At 35.5% G+C, this 20,156-nt stretch overlaps 1 protein-coding gene and 1 long non-coding RNA gene across 26 annotated transcripts in view, besides 1 other annotated feature; both read right to left on the reverse strand.

The window, feature by feature from the left end:
• Window positions 1–20,156, reverse strand: part of IMMP2L (inner mitochondrial membrane peptidase subunit 2) — an 899,849-nt gene that overhangs the window by 520,982 nt on the left and 358,711 nt on the right. The window lies entirely within an intron of this gene.
• Window positions 1–20,156, reverse strand: part of LOC124901725 (uncharacterized) — a 71,230-nt gene that overhangs the window by 11,293 nt on the left and 39,781 nt on the right. The window contains exon 1 of the long non-coding RNA XR_007060477.1: window positions 1–20,156. This exon is cut by the window's right edge and continues 39,781 nt beyond it. This is a non-coding gene — a long non-coding RNA (uncharacterized LOC124901725).
• Window positions 9,203–9,841: an enhancer, noted in NCBI's record as "OCT4-NANOG hESC enhancer chr7:110832884-110833522 (GRCh37/hg19 assembly coordinates)". NCBI's record gives its function as "activates a minimal SCP1, AML or CMV promoter by ChIP-STARR-seq in naive H9 embryonic stem cells {active_cell/tissue: H9 hESC(naive)}" and the evidence as "EXISTENCE:reporter gene assay evidence [ECO:0000049][PMID:30033119]".

Consider the following 20,156-nt stretch of genomic DNA (forward strand, 5'->3'; position numbering starts at 1 on the left):
AGTCAGAAGTTGGGTTGGCATTTTCCTAGATCACACATTGTTTCTCATTAGCAGTGTGACTTCTCTCATTTTGTTGTTGTTGTTGTTAAGTCTTCCACAAGGCATATTTGTAGTTCATCGAGACCCTTTAACTCAAAGGGGCAAAATGCCTCAATCAAGAAACTATGAATCCCTGTGAAATATCTGACATAAAACAAAAGACAAATATTTCAGGCATAAAAGAAAGAACATACACTCTGGAATTTAACTGATAACGGCTTTTTAAAACCCAGTTGTGCCAGTTGTTAGGTACATTTGTAAGAACTTGGGAAGTTATTTAATTTCTCTTGGTCTCATTTTCTGCATTTATAAAATGGAAATAATAACACCTAGTTTGCACTGTCGTCACAATAATAGGGACAATATAAGTTATCCAGCTCATTTATGGAAATAGAAAGTATCCATAAGTAGTAGTTATTATATTTTATATTCAATGAAATATAATTTTTTCATACTATGGTTTACTACTTTATTAGAGATATATGAGCAGCTATGAAGAATCAAAGAATACTCCAGGGTGCTCTAGAGAAAAATTATAATTATATCATAAGAATCAAAGAGAAATAGGGGGGAAAATAATGGAAATGAGTCAATAAGCAAATGTTATTCTATATTCTTTAATCTTCACCTTAAAATATTTAAGGTGCCAATTTCCATCTAAAATGACACCCTGAAAGGTATCATCATTTACAAAAATTATGTTGTACAGAATGAATTGTGTGTAGTATTCCAAAGTACATATATATTGATAATTTGAAGTCAGTGACAATTATATTCAATTTCTCCATATTCTATTAAACAAGGATGCAATCCATTTTCTCTCTCAAGCATTGAAAGGAACTTCCCTTGCCTTTTTCTTCTCTAGAGCTTCTGGTCTCACTACTACTTAGAGATCATTAGAAGCAGTTGTAGCAACCAGTACTACAAAAGCAGTTCTTCCCACCCCACCTCAAAGTTGGTCAAAAAACACTGTGGAAAGGAAGTTTGCTATAAATGTCACAAGTGCAACAGAAACCTGACTTCTGTTGTTACCTACAGCAGACCCCAGACACTGCCACTCAGAGGTAATGCCACCATTCAGAACTACCCATAGATGTTTAAAAAGTGTGTGTGTGTGTGCATTTGTGTGTTCAGAAGGCATAAAATCTGAATTTAGGAGTATTCAATGCATAGAAACCACTACGTCACCCAACCCACCCTCAAATTACTGCACAACAGTATTTGTATGAATTTTATGTAATAAGTTAGTAAGTATAAAAAAGTTTTGAATCCAATAAATATCCTGCTAATAAAGATGCTCTCCTTCAGTCCCTATCAAAAGCAAGAAATCTCTTTCGAGATAGTTACTGTTTTGTTTTGTTATTAAAGTACCTTTGTTGCTGATCTGTACATGAATGTCATCACTGAATGGAAGCAGTCCAAGAGACTCATATCATTCCCACTAGAAGGAGAAGCTTTGATAAATCTCTAAAGCTATGGCAGTGGTCCAGTCCCTATGCCATATGGCATTCCACCTGTCCCAAGAAGTTTTGTTAATGTCCTCTAAAGCTCCAAACAAAAATACTGAGACATAAACAATCAAATCTACTCTGTGGTTGGATTTTTCAGCTCTACGTGGTAGCTGCAAAAATTCCTCATGCTGTGTGTGTTAATGAGACCCTCCATGGACACCATTAATACATAAAAGCAATCACCCGTAACTCATAGGCCTTTTCCTTCTTACTATGTCTGAATATGTTCATTGCATTTAGAAACTGGAAATAAAATATACCCGGAGAAATTCCAGATGTCAGGAGGCATGAGGACTGAAGGTCTGAAAGTGTTGGCAAAATAAGCAAATCTACAGGTTGTGAGCATATTACCTCAAAGGATAAAAAGAACCTAACAATTAACCACAAAAATATATTATGTAAACAAAAATTACTGAAGCTGAAAACTCACTTTAACCTACAAGTATTCTTGTAGATTAGAACAGTAACAGAAAACTAAAATTTTTGTAACCTAATGAAAAGAATAGCAAGGAGATTAGAGCAAACTATCTGCCAGATCCTTTTGAATTACTGTCCAACCACTTTGTTCACTTAAATCTTTATCTCAATGGATATAAGCATTTTAGATGAAATAACATGAGAAGTATAAACAGATATGAGTAATTAGCTTGCTTAGCTTCTGGACATGTAGGGAAATATGCTTTATTTTAAATTCTATGACTTGGTCACCAACAGAAATCTGATTTATTTTCATATCACATTCCCATTGTTTTACATATCTTGAAATATTTTTTACCTTCAACACTACACTACTTTGAAACTATGATTGTTTATAGGCCCAGTGTTATTAGATCATCTTAATACATTTAAATATATTATGAAGAAACAAATATATAATAACATCACAAATTTTAAAGTATTTTGCTAAATGAGTTCAGTAAAACTGGTTTCCTCTTAAATAACATATATTTTATTTTATGCATCTAAAAATGTATTCTGAGAAGAGTTGTATAGGGTATAGCAGATTCCCACCAAAGGTGTCCATGATGCAAAGAAAGGCTGTAATTAACCTTTTCTAAAGGAAAGACTGCACAGACAGACAGTGACACCAATGTATATGCTGCGGGCATGTGATTGTCACAAATACAGTTATAGCCATGGGACTATTCATGTCCTTATGTCTACTTTGGCCTTCATTGTTCCTCTTTTCTGCCTAATATATGCCTATCATTCCACTCAATTTTTTTAAGCATCTAGAACCATATCTTTCAATTTTTTTTTTTTAGAAGGAGTTTCACTCTTGTTGCCCAAGCTGGAGTGCAATGGCACGATCTCAGCTCACTGCAGCCTCCACCTCCTGGGTTCAAGGGTTCCAGCGATTCTCCTGCTTCAGCCTCCTGAGTAGCTGGGATTACAGGCACGTGCCACCAAGCCTGGCTAATTTTTTTGTATTTTTAGTAGAAACGGGGTTTCACCTTGTTAGCCAGGCTGGTCTCAAACTCCTGACCTCAGGTGATCCGCCCACCTCAGCCTCCCAGAGTGTTGGGATTACAGGCATGAGCCACCGTGCCCAGCCTCTTTCCACTTTAATCAGGCATGCTGATGAGGTAATCAATTTCAGTATAAAATCTAAGAATGAGTCTTACGGCCTAGTTCTTTAAGAACCTCTGGAATTCATGTATAAAGGACAGGATGAGACAAAGGCAACACCAGGAAGAGGCCACATTTACTTTTGAAAACTGTTTCCCTACAATTTTCTGTAACTTCCCCCTCGTCCTTGCTTTTTTTAAAAAAAAAAAGTTTTAATACCTTTTTGTCTCCCCAGTACAGTATAAATTAGTCTACTTAGTTCTGGGAATAGAATTAGTAGTAGGCACTTTTTCTCCATAAATGAATACACCTTTACACAGAGGAAAAGACTGCAAACGTATAAATAAAATCAAAGTAAGTATTAATGTTGTCAAGGACAACTGCAAACATACAGTGTGTGTTGCAAAGCAGTGTAAGAGAATGGGAGTAAGGTGGTGGTGTTCTAATAGTCTGTGGGCAGCAAGAAAATTAGGCCCTTCCCTTTCTGGCCAAGCAGGTCTTAACCCTTCCATCAGTGGGTCTCAAGGAAGCAGAGCAACTGCATAGACAAGACATAAGTTCTGCCACCCAAGGAGAGGGCCACCAGGCTCTCCCTTTTAGGACCAACTAAATATAATGCTGGCACTTTGAAAGAGTACCCAGATATTCAGGGCAATACCACCCAAGCCCAAGTTACATATCTAACCTTTTAAAATATATAGCTAAAAGCCAATTGCACTCTTATATTTCAAACATAGTATTGTAACGAGAATTCAAACCACTATATTATAGTTAGTGTCTGGCCTTACTCATAGTATGGAGCCTGTTGGAAATGAGACAGAATACTATGCTTAGCACAAAGTATGTTCTTATTAAATATTTATTGAAGGAATGAACGTTGTCATTAGAATTACATTTCAAGTAATAATAATCATTATGATGGCAAACACTGAAAAGGAGCTTATCAGGTGGCAGGTATTGTTTTAAGTGCTTTACAAATACCAACTCAACTAATTCTCTAGACAAAGTGCACACAGGTTATTTACAGAGGAAACTGAAGCACAGAGACCTTGAATCACCTGCCCAAATCACTTATGTATTAATTGTAGATTTGGGAATCAAATCCAGGCAACCTGGCTCTGGAATCTGAGGCCTTAAGTACGTCAAAATACTGCCAAGTTAGAGTAAGATTTACATCCATATTGATGCTATTGCTTCCAAAAGGGAAAATGGATTTTTTGTTTTTTAAAGGAGGGCATGGGGATAGAGAAGTCCAAGTTGATTTGGGATATGTCAGAGAAGGAGAAGCTTTAGTAGGAAGGGTTGGGAACTTCCTGGCAGAGCCCCTCTGGAGAGGAAAAGTAGATGTCAGTGCTTATAGCTTGCCAGTCTACCGCTCCTGCTCCCTCCACGGCTTGTGACAGTCTCTGTCACAGTGTGGCTTAAGTTCTCTCTTGCTTTTTCAATAACAGCTTAAATAAAGGCTGTATCCCACATGTTTCAAGTCAATTCATGGTGCTCCTGTCTTAGTACAGGCTGCGATTAACAAAGTGCCATAAATTGGGTGGCTTATGAACAACAGGAATTTACTTCTCACAGTTTTGGAAGGCTGAGATCAGAATGTCAGCTTGGTCAAGTTCTGGTGAGGGCTCTCTTCCAGTTTGCAGACTGACCTCTTCTCATTGTTTCTTCATATGGCAGAAAGGGGGCAACAGACTGTTCTGGAGTCCCTTTTATAAGGGCACTAATCTCATATACGAGGGCTCCATCCTTGTGACCTAGTTACCTCCCAAAGGCTCCACCTCCTAATACCATCATATTTGGAGTTAAGATTTCAACATATGAATTTGGGGAGTAGACATTCAGTCCATAAGAGCTTATTAGACGGCTCTGCTCATCGTAGTTGGATCTGGCAGTTTAAGGAAGTAATTTGTTTTGTCCTGGGAGGAGTTAATTTCTTGTACTTGCTAGTGAGTGGGTAGCTAGTACAGGTAAACTGTTAATTGGCACTTGCACACAATGGAAGGGGACCCAGAGAGTGGCCACTTGAAAAACTTGGTATTACTGACACTCTCCAAAGTAGTGTCATTACTCATATTAGCTTATTATTTAGCTATTAGTCCTACAGAATAACATCTTTTTCAATAGGAAGATTTCCTACCTAATATGATCTTTTTAAGCCAAGGGAATTATTATAACTAGCTAACTTCCTGGAAGATCAGAACTACAGATATGGCTAATAAAAAAGTTCCTCCTGTTCAAGCACCATTCCAATAGCATCAGCCAGCTCCATTACTGCACCTACTAGTACCGTTGAGAAAAATCTGCCCTCAAGTGCAAACTGGAGTAAGTGGTAGAGAATGGTCTAGAGGCACCACAGCCAAACAGTGCCACTCAGAAGAAATAAGATAATTCATGTATACTTTTTATTGTGGCTATTCTCTAACCAGGGCCCTACAGAATTCCATTCTTTAAAACCAGTGTTTTCAATTAAAATAACAAAATCAATTAGAGGAGACAAAAGAGGCAGAAAGATGTGTCTCAAAAGCAGAAACTTTGCCTTTGTGGTGTCAGAAGCCTGAGAGGCCTGTGTATCAATGATAACTATTAAAAGACATCAGTGCTTTCATGTCACCCACCTTTTTTAATGAAAAAAAAAAAAAAATACTACAAGGGCCTGCCAGAAAAGAAATTAGCTTGACATTAATGACCAGAAGAACAGCACTAATACTTAATAAATAGGGCAGTTATTTTCTCTACAGCTTTTTCTTTAGTGTGTTTACACTCTACTCATAGATTATACTCTAACTTTCCTATCACAGATAACCTAAGTCCTGAAAAAAAAAATAAATAAATATTGGTCCACATTCTCCTAAACTCTACAAATACTGAAGAAACTATGGCATTCTTCAGCAAAGAACTAGGGCAAAGATAAGGGTAAGAGAATAAGGAGGATATTTTTAATACAGAAAAGCTTCAGAGGATTGTCATTCTTCATAGCTTTTATGATCTTGAACTGACTTAGCTTAAGGTGCTTTCTCTACCTCCAACCCACCCCAGGCATGGGAAATAGAGGGCTTAGGAGTAGAAAGAGAAGACTTACTATATCTTTAAGAGGAAAGATTCCTTTCCTAGACTAAATGCTTATTCAGACAAACTGCTCTCATAAATTAGCCTTAACATTTCAAACTCTGTGTGACTATAATAAGGTTTTGTTTATAAGACAACTCTGAGTGTATTTGGAGAAAGTCCCTGAAATACAGGTTGATATGATAATTTCAGTTGTATTATCAGTGGAAATTAACATGGCCAGTTGACAGTATATAAAAATAAATAATGAAACAAAAATTGTCTGCAGATATACATTTTACAGCATCATCTCATACCATTTTTTACACTAAATTAAATGTCTCACCAATAGCTAAAATCACTGATCACTGAGCTAGTAGGTATATGCTTTATCATTTCCTTTTATTTCTAGGGCAGCATGACGGTTATTATTTTTAACTCCTCTAAGCTTTCTAACTACTTGCTCTATTTTTCATTCTCAAGGTAAACAATGACACCTAAGCAAAAACAAGGTTTTCTCTGATTCTACTAGTCCTTCAGGCTTTAGTTAAAAAATAAATCTAGCATTACCAACATGCTAAATGTATATTACAGAGCTTCTTCCTCTATTATCAAATATACTTTTAGATTTGTCCGAAGGGAAAACTATTTTTATTTTGCATAAAATATATGTATATATAAAACACAAAAAATACAAAATTAAGAGAAATATTTCACTCCGTTATGCACCAATAGAACAATAGGAACGTAAGGTAGAGAAAAGTGGTTAAAAATACTTGCAAGAGTGAAAGTTGGTGTCTGCCACACTTAGGTCGAAATCCATTTACTACAATATGTCACTAACAATATGTGACCTTGGGCAGGTGACAGTCTCTGGAGCCTTAGTTTCTTCAAGCAGTCTGGCATAAAAAGCCACACTTTTCACTGACATTACATGAGTATATTGCTTATCTATATAAAACAGGATTATCAATATGTATGTACGAAGGTAGGTTGGTAAGCAGGTATTTGTGTATAACATCATGTGATATAAACAAATTCTACAACATCTTAACTAGGCAATTTGAATAGACAAAGTTTGCAGCTGGGGAAGGAGAGCTGGTGCCACAAATTTAACAGTCATCTAAATGACAGTATATGTCAAACACCCAATAAAAAGCCTGACCCATAGCAAACATCAATAATACTTCTTCCTTTTGCTTTGAGCGGGCAAACGGAATAGGAAAGAACTGACCACTGCAGTGGCAGATAAGAAGGCATCAAAGAGATAGTAAGGGTGAGAAGCAACAAAAGCATACTGCCTGACTCACAACTATTTCCAAGGCCAGCCTGGCTTACAAGTCTTCATTCTAATGTAGTTATATGACCTTTATTAATATCATTTGCAGTATATTATTTTGTATTTTGAATGATATTCTTTTTTAAAAAAATATTCTTTGAACATTCCTCCCCCAAAATGCAGGTAAGAAAACCCAGGCAAAAGTCTAGATTAACTATTTCATTTAGCCTCACAGAGCAATTTAAATTCCATTAAAGCATGTAAAATCTGTTTGTTACATTACAGTCACATTCACTATAACAGAATACTTCCAGAAAGATAGTTAAAATCTGTAACAAGGTAAAATGCTGCTGCTCAAATACACACACACACACACACACACACACACACACACACACACACAAAACTTATATGCTTTTACATCTAAACAAATTGCCTTGACTGGGAATGACTTTTAATGTACTCTTCCAGGCAAATTCCCTAAAGGCAAATACTGATATATTCCTTCCTCCTGACATGGAAGTATTCCTCCTGACAGGTCAGTAGTAGCACAAACTGGCTTCTAAGGTAAGAAGATTCTAGCATTTTTTACTCTTAAACATGTCTTGAGACCAGTTACTGTCTTTAGGAAATAAAGTCAGGCCAAACAGAAGTTGATCTACTCTGAGCTGAACAAGAAAACATTTTTTTAAAGGGCACTTCAAGTTTCACATTCTTTCTATACACATCCCTCCACCCTACCTTCCCATCCTAATCATCCATTGCTGGTTAAGGATAAGTCCATTTATTCTACAAAAGAAAGCTACTTGGTTCCATTTCTACAGCCAGGAACTATGTAGTAGACGCAGGTGAGAGAGCTTGTTGACAAGCAGGAGCAGGAGTAGGAGGGAGCCACATGGAAATCTGTGGTTATCAGGCAGAATCTGGCGAAAGGTAATGAGAGCAAACAGAAGTCGCACTGGCACAGAGCAACCTTATGGTTGACACCTTTACTCATCAGGTATCACTTAGAGTTTGGGTGATCAACTATGTACCCAAGTGGAAGAGAGAATTTTCTCTCAGACTCACCCAGAAGCCATCAAAGACAGAATATAACAATATATTTTTATAACCCTCATCAGCCTTGATCAGATTATTTTATGCCCTGAAAAGATTATGAGATTATGAGAGCTCATATTCCCATATATTATTTAATGTCAAGGCCAAATATTTAAAATAAAAATACTACACCATGATATAAGTATAAGGAACTCCAATAAAGTCATTTGTTTCCTTTGACTTTTAAAAATATCATGTGTCAATTAGTTTCAAAAAATTTTATTTTTATTTCCTGCTATTCTAAAGCCCCAAATTTGTATTTAGTCTGAAAACTGAGCAATCCAAACGGCCAGCAATCATAACTCCTTTTCTTTTCGCTTCTTCCAACAAAACTTAGTGTGTAAAATACTTAATCTTAATAAAATTAAGTGAATTTGTTTATTTTGAAAGATAGCAATCTCAATTATAGTTGACAACAGATACAAATCAGTAAGACATTTGGAACACACCAATTATGAAGTGCCTTGTCCATCCAGATGGAGCCAAGAGAACAGAGCTCAGGAGAAACCCAAACAAGAGCTCTGGATTTGGGCATCACATGGCAGGTTAATCAAAGAAAGGGGATGATTGCCCAAGAGAGTGCAAAGTACACAAAGAGAAGATCAAATGCAGAACTAAAACAAATAGCCACAATTTTAAGCAGGATAAAGGCAGAAGACACAACTAAGACTAAAAACAAATTACAGAGGCAAGAAGAGAGTGGTAGCTGATGAGGTAAGGGAGGAGTTTAGAAAAATGATGGCTAATCACATAGATTGTACAGTGATCAAGCCCCTGAGGAGAGTTTGAGTTGGGCAATTGGGAAGTCCTTGGCAACCTGAGACAGCTCTGGATGATCCCAGCAGAAGCCAGACTTCAGTGGACAGAGAATTACTAAGAGATGCATAAATGGAGATATTGAGTAAAAGCAACTGTTCAAACATGGGAGAACAGAGAGAAAGGAAAAGATTGAGGAGAGATTAATGTGAGGGATTTCCTCTTTTGTTTATTTCTCTTTTGTGAAGTATGTGGAGATGTAGCCTCTTTGAGGACTAATGGGAAGAAATTAAAATACAAAAGAAAGTCGATGGGTGTCTGTGCAAGCTCTTGCAGGAAGCAGGGAATAACAGAACAAGGGCGTGGCAGAAGGTATGCTCTTGACAGTGGGTTAAGATGCTTCTTCTTCCCACTCTGAGAATCAGTGAAGTAAGAATGGATAAATAGATAAACAATCTTAAAGGCGCAATAAAAATAAAATTGAGGTGATTTTTGTCTGACGGTGATAAAGTGTGGTAATGATTTAAAAAGAAAGACCCAGAAACAATCCTTAAAACAGAGTCAAACATTGAGCATCCATCTCCAACGACTTTTAAAGAAAATATAGTTCTTATTTTCACTCAGGTTTTATAACTCCCAAGAGTGATTATTTGGGATTAAGGAGAAAAGGGATGCTAAATATAGTCCTCCGAATGGGAAATCCTCAATATCCAGAGATGCTGACCAGAGAGAACAGAGGCCAATCAGAAAGAGCCTCTTCATTTAAGTGGGAAAAACTAAAAGATCAATAGGAGATCTTCCAGTACATATTTTAATTGATATACCTAATTAAGATATTTTAGCTGGGTTAGCTAATAGTATTTTTAGCGATATAATTTATATTCCTTTAATATTACTTATTTTACCTATTATTTACACATATTTTGACCAGGCTATGGGTCAACTTCCCATTATTTAATCTGTGTCCTACTCATCAATTGACCTTACATCTCAAGACTATATCACATATGCATTTGTAAAATATTACTGATTTCTTAAAATTTCTCTGCTCTTTTAGACCAGTCCACTTTTAACTCAGTATTCCAGAGGCCAAACTACTTATAAAGTCACAGCTGTCTCTTCGGGATTTGGCAGTGATACCATGGCCTGGTCATATGGCACAAAGTTTCTACAGCACCTTTACTCAACTTCTGCCTTGGGGCACAGCCCTCTGGGAACACACATCTGTCTCCTGTAGGACTGTGAGCCCCTGAAGAGCAAGAACCAGATCTTTTCAGGGTTCTAGTTCTTCTGTAGCTAGTAAAGGAACTTGTCTATTGTGACTTTTCAATAAACATTTGATGAACTGAGTATTCATCCTACATTTAGTACTCTTTTAATAGTGGAGTAGATGTTTACTTAATATTCAATCTACCTATGACAGTCTACCATTTAGTCATGTCAACACTCATTTATCTTGCCTAAGGAGCAGCCTCTGAGAAAGATTCCTGAGATCCCAGCAGAATCCACCCCTCCTTTGTACCATTACACCTGTTTATAACATTTGTAATTTTGTACCATAATTATTTGCTTCAATGCTTCCTCTCCTTCAATAACTATGAGCTTCAACAGTGTTAAGAACCTCATCTTATTTATCACAAAAGCCACTACCTGCCACAATCCCCAGTCCACAACAAGTACTCAATAGATGTTGTGAATGAATAGTACATATGTCTTCACAGTCAAATATATATGGAGCTGATAAAAACAATAATCAATATTTGTTTCTAAATAAAAGATTAACACCTAAAACAGTATTGCTTTATAAAATTTCCTTTATAAATTATTTTCACCAAGTCTGTGAGGTAGGCATTATATCTAACCTTATATTAGAAATCACAAAATTACTTACCAAGACCATATCTACTTAGCTCTACCCAGTATCAACTTCTATAATCATATCTAACATGTAGACACTAAATTTCCAGTTTTTTTGCAATGTATATACTTATGCAAAAATATTACAAAACAATTTTACTTATCGTTTTCATAGATGATTTTCCATAAGCAGAAATGTGTTTCAGTGAATTGTTTTTAAAAACCAAACTATTGAAAAATAACAATTAAAACTGTCACCATTTAGTATATTTATTTAATATGTTAGGTCTTAATGAAATAACATGCACTACATAAAACTTACATTGTAAAGTATATGAAAGAGGCAGGAAGTAATAGATTTTTGGCTTCCATTTATATTTACATAAAATTACAAAGATTTTAAGTTTATTGGATTATTAACATAATTTCAATTTAAACTAATTTAAATTTAAAGTAGTAAGGACAGTAGAAACCTAAATCCCATTAATATTTTTGGAAGATTAGATGAGAGGCTAGAAACAAATTTTTTTCAAAACTTATCTATTCTGTTTCAACTGATACCAATTTCTATGATCTCAATACAAACTGGACGGACATTATCAGCTGCTTCTAAAGACTAAGTTGAAAATATAAACTTGCAAGGAATAAAAAAGAGATAGACTGGAAGAATATAGGAGGTAACACTACTAGAAGTCAAAGTAAAGTGCAAAATTTCAATCATGTCTCTTTATCAATTGCCACATTATCTTTTTATTGTGTAGAAACTTTATTATAAAGGATTTTTTATTTTTAAAAGCAAATATGTACATATATTTTCATTGAAAGTCTAATTACGGACTGAGTCTGTCTTCAGGATGCTTTATATATGTGAGCTCATTTATTTCCATTGACTACCCTATGAGTTCCTTTTTATGAGTGTCGACGATTCTAAAATCCATGTGTTTTCCAGAGCATGATAAATTTAACTTTTAGAAATTATCAGAAAAATATGAATAGAATGCTAGACTGTGTAATCAAATTTAATTTTTATTGTTTATTTTATTTTATTTCATTTCATTTCATTTCATTTCATTTCATTTTTGCTCTATCATTTCATTTCATTTTATTTTATTTTTGCTCTATCACCAAGGCGGGACTTCACCAACACAATCACGGCTCACTGCACCCTCGAACTCCTGGGCTCAAGTGATTCTCCCACCTTAGCCTCCAAGCAGCTAGTACCACAGGTGGGGTATGCCACCACATCCACCGTTTTGTTTTGTTTTGTTTTTGATAGAGACAGTATCTCTCTGTGTTGCCCAGACTGGTCTTGAACTACTTGGATCATGCAATCCTCCCACATTAGCCTCCCAAAGTGCTGGGATTATAGGCATAAGGGGCCACACCCATAAATTTAATTTTTAAACTAAGATTATTTGGGACCTTAGGAAAAATCATGAAAAATAATCTCTTGGAATAATGTGAAAGATTATATTGTTCCCTAAAAGGAACAAAATGCTTTACGGTGCTAGCCTTTTATACCATGCTGGCCATGCCAGCTAAAGTTCAGATCGGGTCATCATTTCCAGAATCAAACGATAAAAATCAAACTAGAAAAAAAAATTATTCAATGAAGTGACCCATTCATCACTAGGAGTGTTAAACTAGAACAATGTGGTATTTTCTCTAAAGCATCTTACAATCATTGTAAATTAGGAGATTATGAAGTCTCATTCAAAAAGATTATGGAGGACACTAAGAGTCTCCTATACACTATTTTCTAAATAAAAGGGACTTTTTAAAAAACTATTTAGTTAATAAAAGCAATACATGCTCATTGTGAGTGTGGGAGAAACAGGAAGAAACAAAATAAAGCACTTTCACGAAATAGGAAATGAAAATATGAGAATTTAAATGATTTAAATTTAAATAATCATTTTTCCTAGCTTCTTTCCCCATAAATAATCATTGTTAATGGTTCCTTCAAAATTTTTCACTGCACGTTTGTTGTTTATATATCCATATAGCTTTAAAGATCTTTACGTAAACGCTCTCATACTATTTGCAGTTTTACATTTTTGTAACGTAAAAATATATCTTAGGCACGACTCTTTAACAGGGCATACAAAATTGACTCACTGGTTCTCAGAGCTGTGCAGTATTTCGCTGAATAGGTATATCAATTTATTTTGCCCTTACTGAGGCTGACTTGAGCTACTTCCAGTTTTTCGTTTATGAAGTTTCCCTAAACTTCCACGAACTCTCTTGAATCCTCTTATATTCACAAAGCCATCATGAATTAATGCTATGTTATTTTACAAAATCGGAGGCCCAGAAAATACTGAAAAGGTTGAGGAAGTACCAACTCTTACAACGATCACATAAGCCAACAAATTCCTTTAAAAATGAACAAAGTATTGGCTGGGCTCGGTGGCTCACGCCTGTAATCCCAGCACTTTGGAAGGCCAAGGTGGGCGGATCACGAGGTCAGGAGATGGATACCATCCTGGCTAACACAGGTGAAACCCCGTCTCTACTAAAAATACAAAAAATTAGCCGGGCGTGGTGGCGGGCGCCTGTAGTCCCAGCTACTCGGGAGGCTGAGGCAGGAGAACGGCGTGAACCCAGGAGGCGGAGCTTGCAGTGAGCTGAGATCACGCCACGGTGCTCCAGCCTGGGCAACAGAGCGAGACTCCATCTCAAAACAAACAGAAGAGAACAAAACAAAAATGAACCAAGTATTTATAGTAAAATAATTCTCAAGGTAATATAGCTAATTATTTGATGAAGATATCTCCATACGTCTTTAAAAAGGCAATCAAAGATAAAATAATCATAGAATTGGGCTTCAACAAACCAAAGTACCATCTGTCATCAGTTAAGGAAGTATCAGCTGGAAGGATGGGAAAAACAACTATATTTTAAAACTCAGCAGAACTACTATACAATGCGATAGCTTTCAGTGTGTTCACTCAATACTATTACATTCTATCAAATGACAAATCCATCTAATTCTAAAGACTAAAATTGCAGTTTAAAATGTTTAAAATAATTTTGCTCCTTTGAAAATTACTCTTGATGCTAGGCAATTACTTTCAAATTAAAAGTTCCTTCAGACTTTAGAATTGTCACACATTAGTAGGGATTTAAAGCAAAGATATACCTTACAGTAAGCAACAATAACAAAGAAGGAGGAAAAAACATTGACTAAATATAATTTAGAAATCAGTAGACAGATAATATTGCACAGAAGAATGAAGAGTACATAGATAATCTAAATCTAGGGACATCTGGGTTTTAATTACACTTTTTCACCAAGGATTCCAAAGATGGCATTTTGAAGCCATGTATTCTTTTCCTGTCCTCCAGGACACAAGAATGCAATTACTAATGGGAAAATAAAGACAGACTTTCTTTTACTCATTTTGAAAAAAGAAAAAAATGCTCTCTCTAGTCTGCATAAACTGGCTGAAGTTTTGATCTGATGTGACAATTCCTCTAAATATGGCTCCAGATCTGCCCTTAGAATCATATAATACTGTGAGTAACAACACAGGTCAGAACGGCTCTCGGTCATATTCCTGGCTCAACTACTCAATAGCAGAGTGACTTTAAGCAAGTTCTGAGTCTTATTTTCCTAACCCGTACAAGCAGTTATTATTACCCTATGGGCTGCTGTGTGGATCAACTTACATAATGAACTCAAAGTTCCTACAACATGGGTGTACCAGGTCACTCTGGTTAACCACAGCTCCTTGTGAAGCAGTGATTCATACTTTCCAGCATGTATCACATGCTGCAATCAAACTGGAATCCATAACTATTCCCTAAACACGCCCTGATAATTTCTGCTTTGATTCATGCTACTTCTACAAATGATGCCTTTTTCCACCATAACTGCCTACCAAAATCTTATCCTTCTTTCAATACTTTTGCAAATGCTACTTCCTTTATGAAGCATTTTTCCCAATTCTCCTCTGTTATTAGGACTCGTTCATTCTGGAACTCTGTTCTTCCATCATACTTATATCTGGCCTTAGAGTTATAATGCCCTTGTCATATCTTTCTCTTTCTTTAGATTCTAAGTTCCCAAAAATAATGTAAACTTCTTCAATATTTACCAAAAACTACCAATTGAATTGAATGTTTGAGTGGAGAATATATGCATTTTCAGAGATATATACAAACAGGTAGAGATCTGGAAAACTGTTTCAGCTCCCAATGTCCTCCCTCAATATGGACTAAATTCCACTGAACTTGATAGCTATGTCAGTCACTACATTTTCGAACTGCATTTCCTAGTGGGGCTGTTATAATTTGTGTCCATTTTTTTTTCATTAATTTACATGTATTTGTGAAGTAGGTTTCAAGAAAGGGATTGAAATAAACACATTTTTATTCTGCCACCATTTTACAAAAAAACCTGCCTCATTTCCGAATAAATAAATACAGCCTACATATAATGTATATTAACTCAAATATTTCAATTCTCTCATTTAAGTATGCGAGTATTTCTATTTAAAGTTCTTTGATTCTAAAACTAAGAGTAACTGGACAACCTGTCAGTTCCCTGTAATTTCCTTTTGCACCTTCACACACTGTCAGCAATACAACCACAGTTAATTAAAATATGTACGTGGAACATGTAAAATAGCATCAAATATGAAATATGTAAAAGTTGAAAACACTAAAAGAAGCCAAAACTAAAAATGATTCTCCTTAACACATTAAAAACAGTACTATGTCTGAATAGAAAAAGAAAAGCCAATGGTAATCACTAAAGTTATTCTCCTGTAACAATGTTAACCTATATAATTTGATTTGAGTAAGAAGTTTACAGAATGTTAGTCTGATATAACAAACCAATTAGAAGAAGCATAAGCTTTATCTTTCACTATCATTCTGTTTTTTGGTGAAGGAGCTTTGAGCAGTAAATAATTTACTATCAAAAGCAGCAAACTCTGCTAAAGTTAAAATTACAATCTTATGAGTGCATGTGCATTAGGGATCATGTTAAAACCATCAACCTCATTTCAGTAGATGTCTTATCTCACATAAAGTATGCTGCTAGACATAAAGCATCAGTGGTTTACCTCTAAATGATCCAGTCCCTCCAGGAAACTGGGTGTAGTTTTAATAAAATTGAACTCATAAGTTTTTATTACATTTATAATGAATGCTTTTCAGTTTTATAGGCTCTTTGAAGGAGCAATTTAGTTTCTCTATTAAAACATGACTTTATATCCTTCACAACTCTCAGGTTTCAATTTTATGTTGCTACCACTCTCAATATAAATGAAGATATTGAAGTTTTAATAAAGGTATAGAGTTATTTTTATTGTACATATGAAATGTGAGTTTACAAAATTACAGGGAAAAGTACAGCATATTAAAATTTCTTTCTATTCTTACTTTTCTGTATCCTTTCTGCCACACAAAACTAACCAAAGGTGATATAACATATTTAGGTATTAATAAAGCAGGATTCATGATATTGTCTTTTCTTAGAATAAAGCATAATCTAATCTTTCAAAAATGTCTTATTAGCACAGTCGAAAGTGTAATACTGTTTAATTTAACTTGTTGGATCTTTAATCAATCTCTTTATTACATCTAGTGGAACTATATAAAATTTTCAAACATATTGGCTTTATTTACACCATCAAAGTTTGCCCAACAGTAGGGATTATTACAAATGAACAACAGAACATTTTGTTTGTATTTTGTTTGTCTACTTTCCCAACTAAAGAACCTGGTATATACTGGGTTCTATTTTGGAAGCTTACATTTAAAAATTGAGGAAGGTATTATTTCTGCCCGTGAAGAACTCACTATCTGCTGGAAAAAAAAGAAACAGACACATATACCATTATAATACACTGTTATATGGCTGTAATAAATAATAGACATAATAAATATCTATATCCATAATAGATAATTTAGAGCAATAATGGGACCACTGAGGAAAAGCAATCAACTCTGCCCTGGCAGAGAAACAGTTCATGGAGATTTCACCTAGAACTTGAGGAATAAAAGGAATTCCACAAACAGATAAAAGACAAAAAGGCATTACAAACAATAGGAAGAACCCATTAACATAACTGCCAATAGTATTTAGTACTCCTGCAAGAACTAATATTGTCATTGTTGCTTATTTTATTCAATAACAATTTGAACAAAATTATAGTACTATAGTGAAAAACCAAAGAGCTTTTCCTTGTGGAAAATTCTTTTGGAAAATTCTTTTAGATTAAGTCTTCTATAAAGACAAAATCAGATCCTACTCATACAATCCTGATTCCCATCTTGGCTTGTTTGGATGTTTAGAAACAATTCTTATCTGTTCTAAGAAACACATATGAAAAAGCTTGTATCAAACACATATGCTTGGAGGGTCTGAAGACATCTTTTAAACACAAACAATTCATTAAATGGAAATGCAAAGCATGCCTACATCCTACTACTATATAATGAAAATCGATGTGTTATCACCAACCAACATTTAACGTATCAAATCCAAAAAAAAAAAAAACTGCGTCAATTTCAGGAATGTAATCTTTATACAGTTTTTTGAGAATTATAATATAACTGCTATGGTCTGAATGTTGGTGTCCACCCAAAATTCCTATGTTGAAACCTAATCCCCACTGCAATAGTATTAAGAGGTGGAGCCTCTGGGCACAGTGGCTCACACCTGTAGTCCCAACACTTTGGGAGGCTGAGGGGGGCAGACTGCTTGAGCCTAGGAGTTCAAGATCAGCCTGGGCAATCTGGTGAAAACTCATCTCTAAAAAAAATACAAAAAATTTGCTAGGCATGGTGGCATGTACCTATAGTCCCAGCTACTCAGTAAGTGAGGTGGGAAGATCGCTTGAGCCTGGGAGACAGGGGTTGCAGTGAGCTGAGATTGCGCCACTGCACTCCAGCCTTGGCAACAGAGCAAGACCCTGTCTCAAAAAAAAAAAAAGGAAAAAAAAAGAGAGATGAGGTTTCTAAGAGCTGATTAGGTTGTGAGGGCTCCGCCCTCATGAATGAGATTAGTGCCCTTATAAAAGAGGCTAAAGAGCTTGTTTGCCCCTTCCATCATGTGGGAACACAGCAAGAAAACACTGGCTATGTGGAATAAGCCCAAACCAGAAACTGAATATACTGGCATCTTGATCTTGGACTTCCCAGTCTCCAGAACTGTGAGAAATAAAGTTCTGTTGTTTTTAAGCTACCCAGTGCTTGTTAAAGCAGCCCAAATAGATATTAACCAAGCCACATGCAAAACTAGACATTAATTTCAAAGCCCATCTTTTGAAAAGTAGCTTCTCCATTTGACTAAACAGGTTCCTAGTGTTGTAATAAATAACATCATTTGACCCATCATTCAAAGCGTAATTGTCACTTGAGAGACAATTAAAAGTTAAATGAAGAATTTCTGTTTCCTTTGATATCAGGTTATAAATTTCCATGACACCCACTCTTGGCAGAAAAAGTCAGTGTAATTAAAATCCATTAATGGAACTTAAATTTGTCTGGAAAAGGAAGCTGTTAACTGGAGTGCTGGCCCCTAAGTCCACCATGCTAACAATTCTCTGATAACAAGTTTCAAGAATCAAAAATAACTGTACTCACGCACTCATAGCTTCCTGTCATGTAGAATTCATTGTTATGGAAGTGTCTTCTTTCTCCCATGGAGGCCTATCATTTAAACTGATCTACTCCAAATAAACCCAACGGGGCAAAGATGAGTGTCCTCACAGTTAGTTTCACTCGTGAACCCAGCCAGCAATTCAAGTGCCTCCACTTTGTTCTAGGTTGCTGCACTCTAATGATCGACAGTACAGAGGATATGTAGAATTGACTCTTCACAGAGACTGGCTAAAACAGTGCTAAAATATAACATCAAAGGAAAATATTATCCAAGCAAAAAAGGAGTTTGGGGAAATGAACTACTTCTCTTTAGAAATGAGATAAAGAAATAATAAGCAACTTTACACTATGAACTCTATCTAGTTGACCCAATAATGATTGATTAGTAGAGTAGAAACAGAGATGAGTGTGAAGGGGATGTTAGGAATTTGTAGAGACCTAGCCTCTTGAAATCCATTTTGGAAAATGATGGACAGAAACAATCAAGCAAATAAAGAAATCCATAGGTGACCACCATATTGAGAGACCAAGTTTAATATAGATGGCTTGAGTATTGATCTCTTGCCCTAAACTATAAACATTAATGGTTATGGGGAAGTAATCTACCCTCTGTAAATAGGCCATTGGCCATCCAAAAATGAGAAGTGACTATTACAACCTCCCAAACTAGTACTATCTATTCAGACACAGATGCAAGTAAAAAGAAGAAGGGTGATATTCAAAGGGATGATAGTTCATTTGAGATGAATTAATTCTTGAAACAAATGCTAACATAAAAAGAAGTCAGTCACCTTAATAGGCAAGACGGTTTTTTTTCTTTTACCATATTCATTCAATAAACATTTATTGAGGGCATCCTATATACCAGGTGCTGATCTTGGCACTGGGATACAGCAAAAAACAAAACAGATACCAGTCCCTGTTCTCATGGAGTTTTTATTCTAATGAAGGAAACAAACAGAAAAAAAAATCAAGAAAAATATATAGTATGTCAGATGGCAACAAGCGTTTTGAAGAAAATGAAGGCAAGATAGATACAGATTATTGGGGAAGGTGTTACTTTAAATAAGGCAGTCAGAAAATATAAGGCATAGGTTTTTAAAACAATAAAAAAGAAATAATGTTTGGGAAAGAGTAGCCTAGGGTAATATTACATTATTATACTGGTTCTTTTTTTTTTTTTTTTTCAATTAAAACTGAAGGACCAAAGAAACCCAAGGAATTAGATTCATGATGCTACTTGTTCTGCTTCTATCACCATCAAACATTAGGTAAAATAATTCTTCTTTGCCTTCACCTTGTCCATTTTCTGGAGGAAGGGACATAGGTTTGATACAACAAATCAAAAAAACAAAAAAGATCCTCGGGGTATTTATGCAGTA

The sequence above is a fragment of the Homo sapiens genome, chromosome 7, assembly GCF_000001405.40.
Source record: "Homo sapiens chromosome 7, GRCh38.p14 Primary Assembly".
Lineage (NCBI taxonomy): Eukaryota > Metazoa > Chordata > Mammalia > Primates > Hominidae > Homo > Homo sapiens.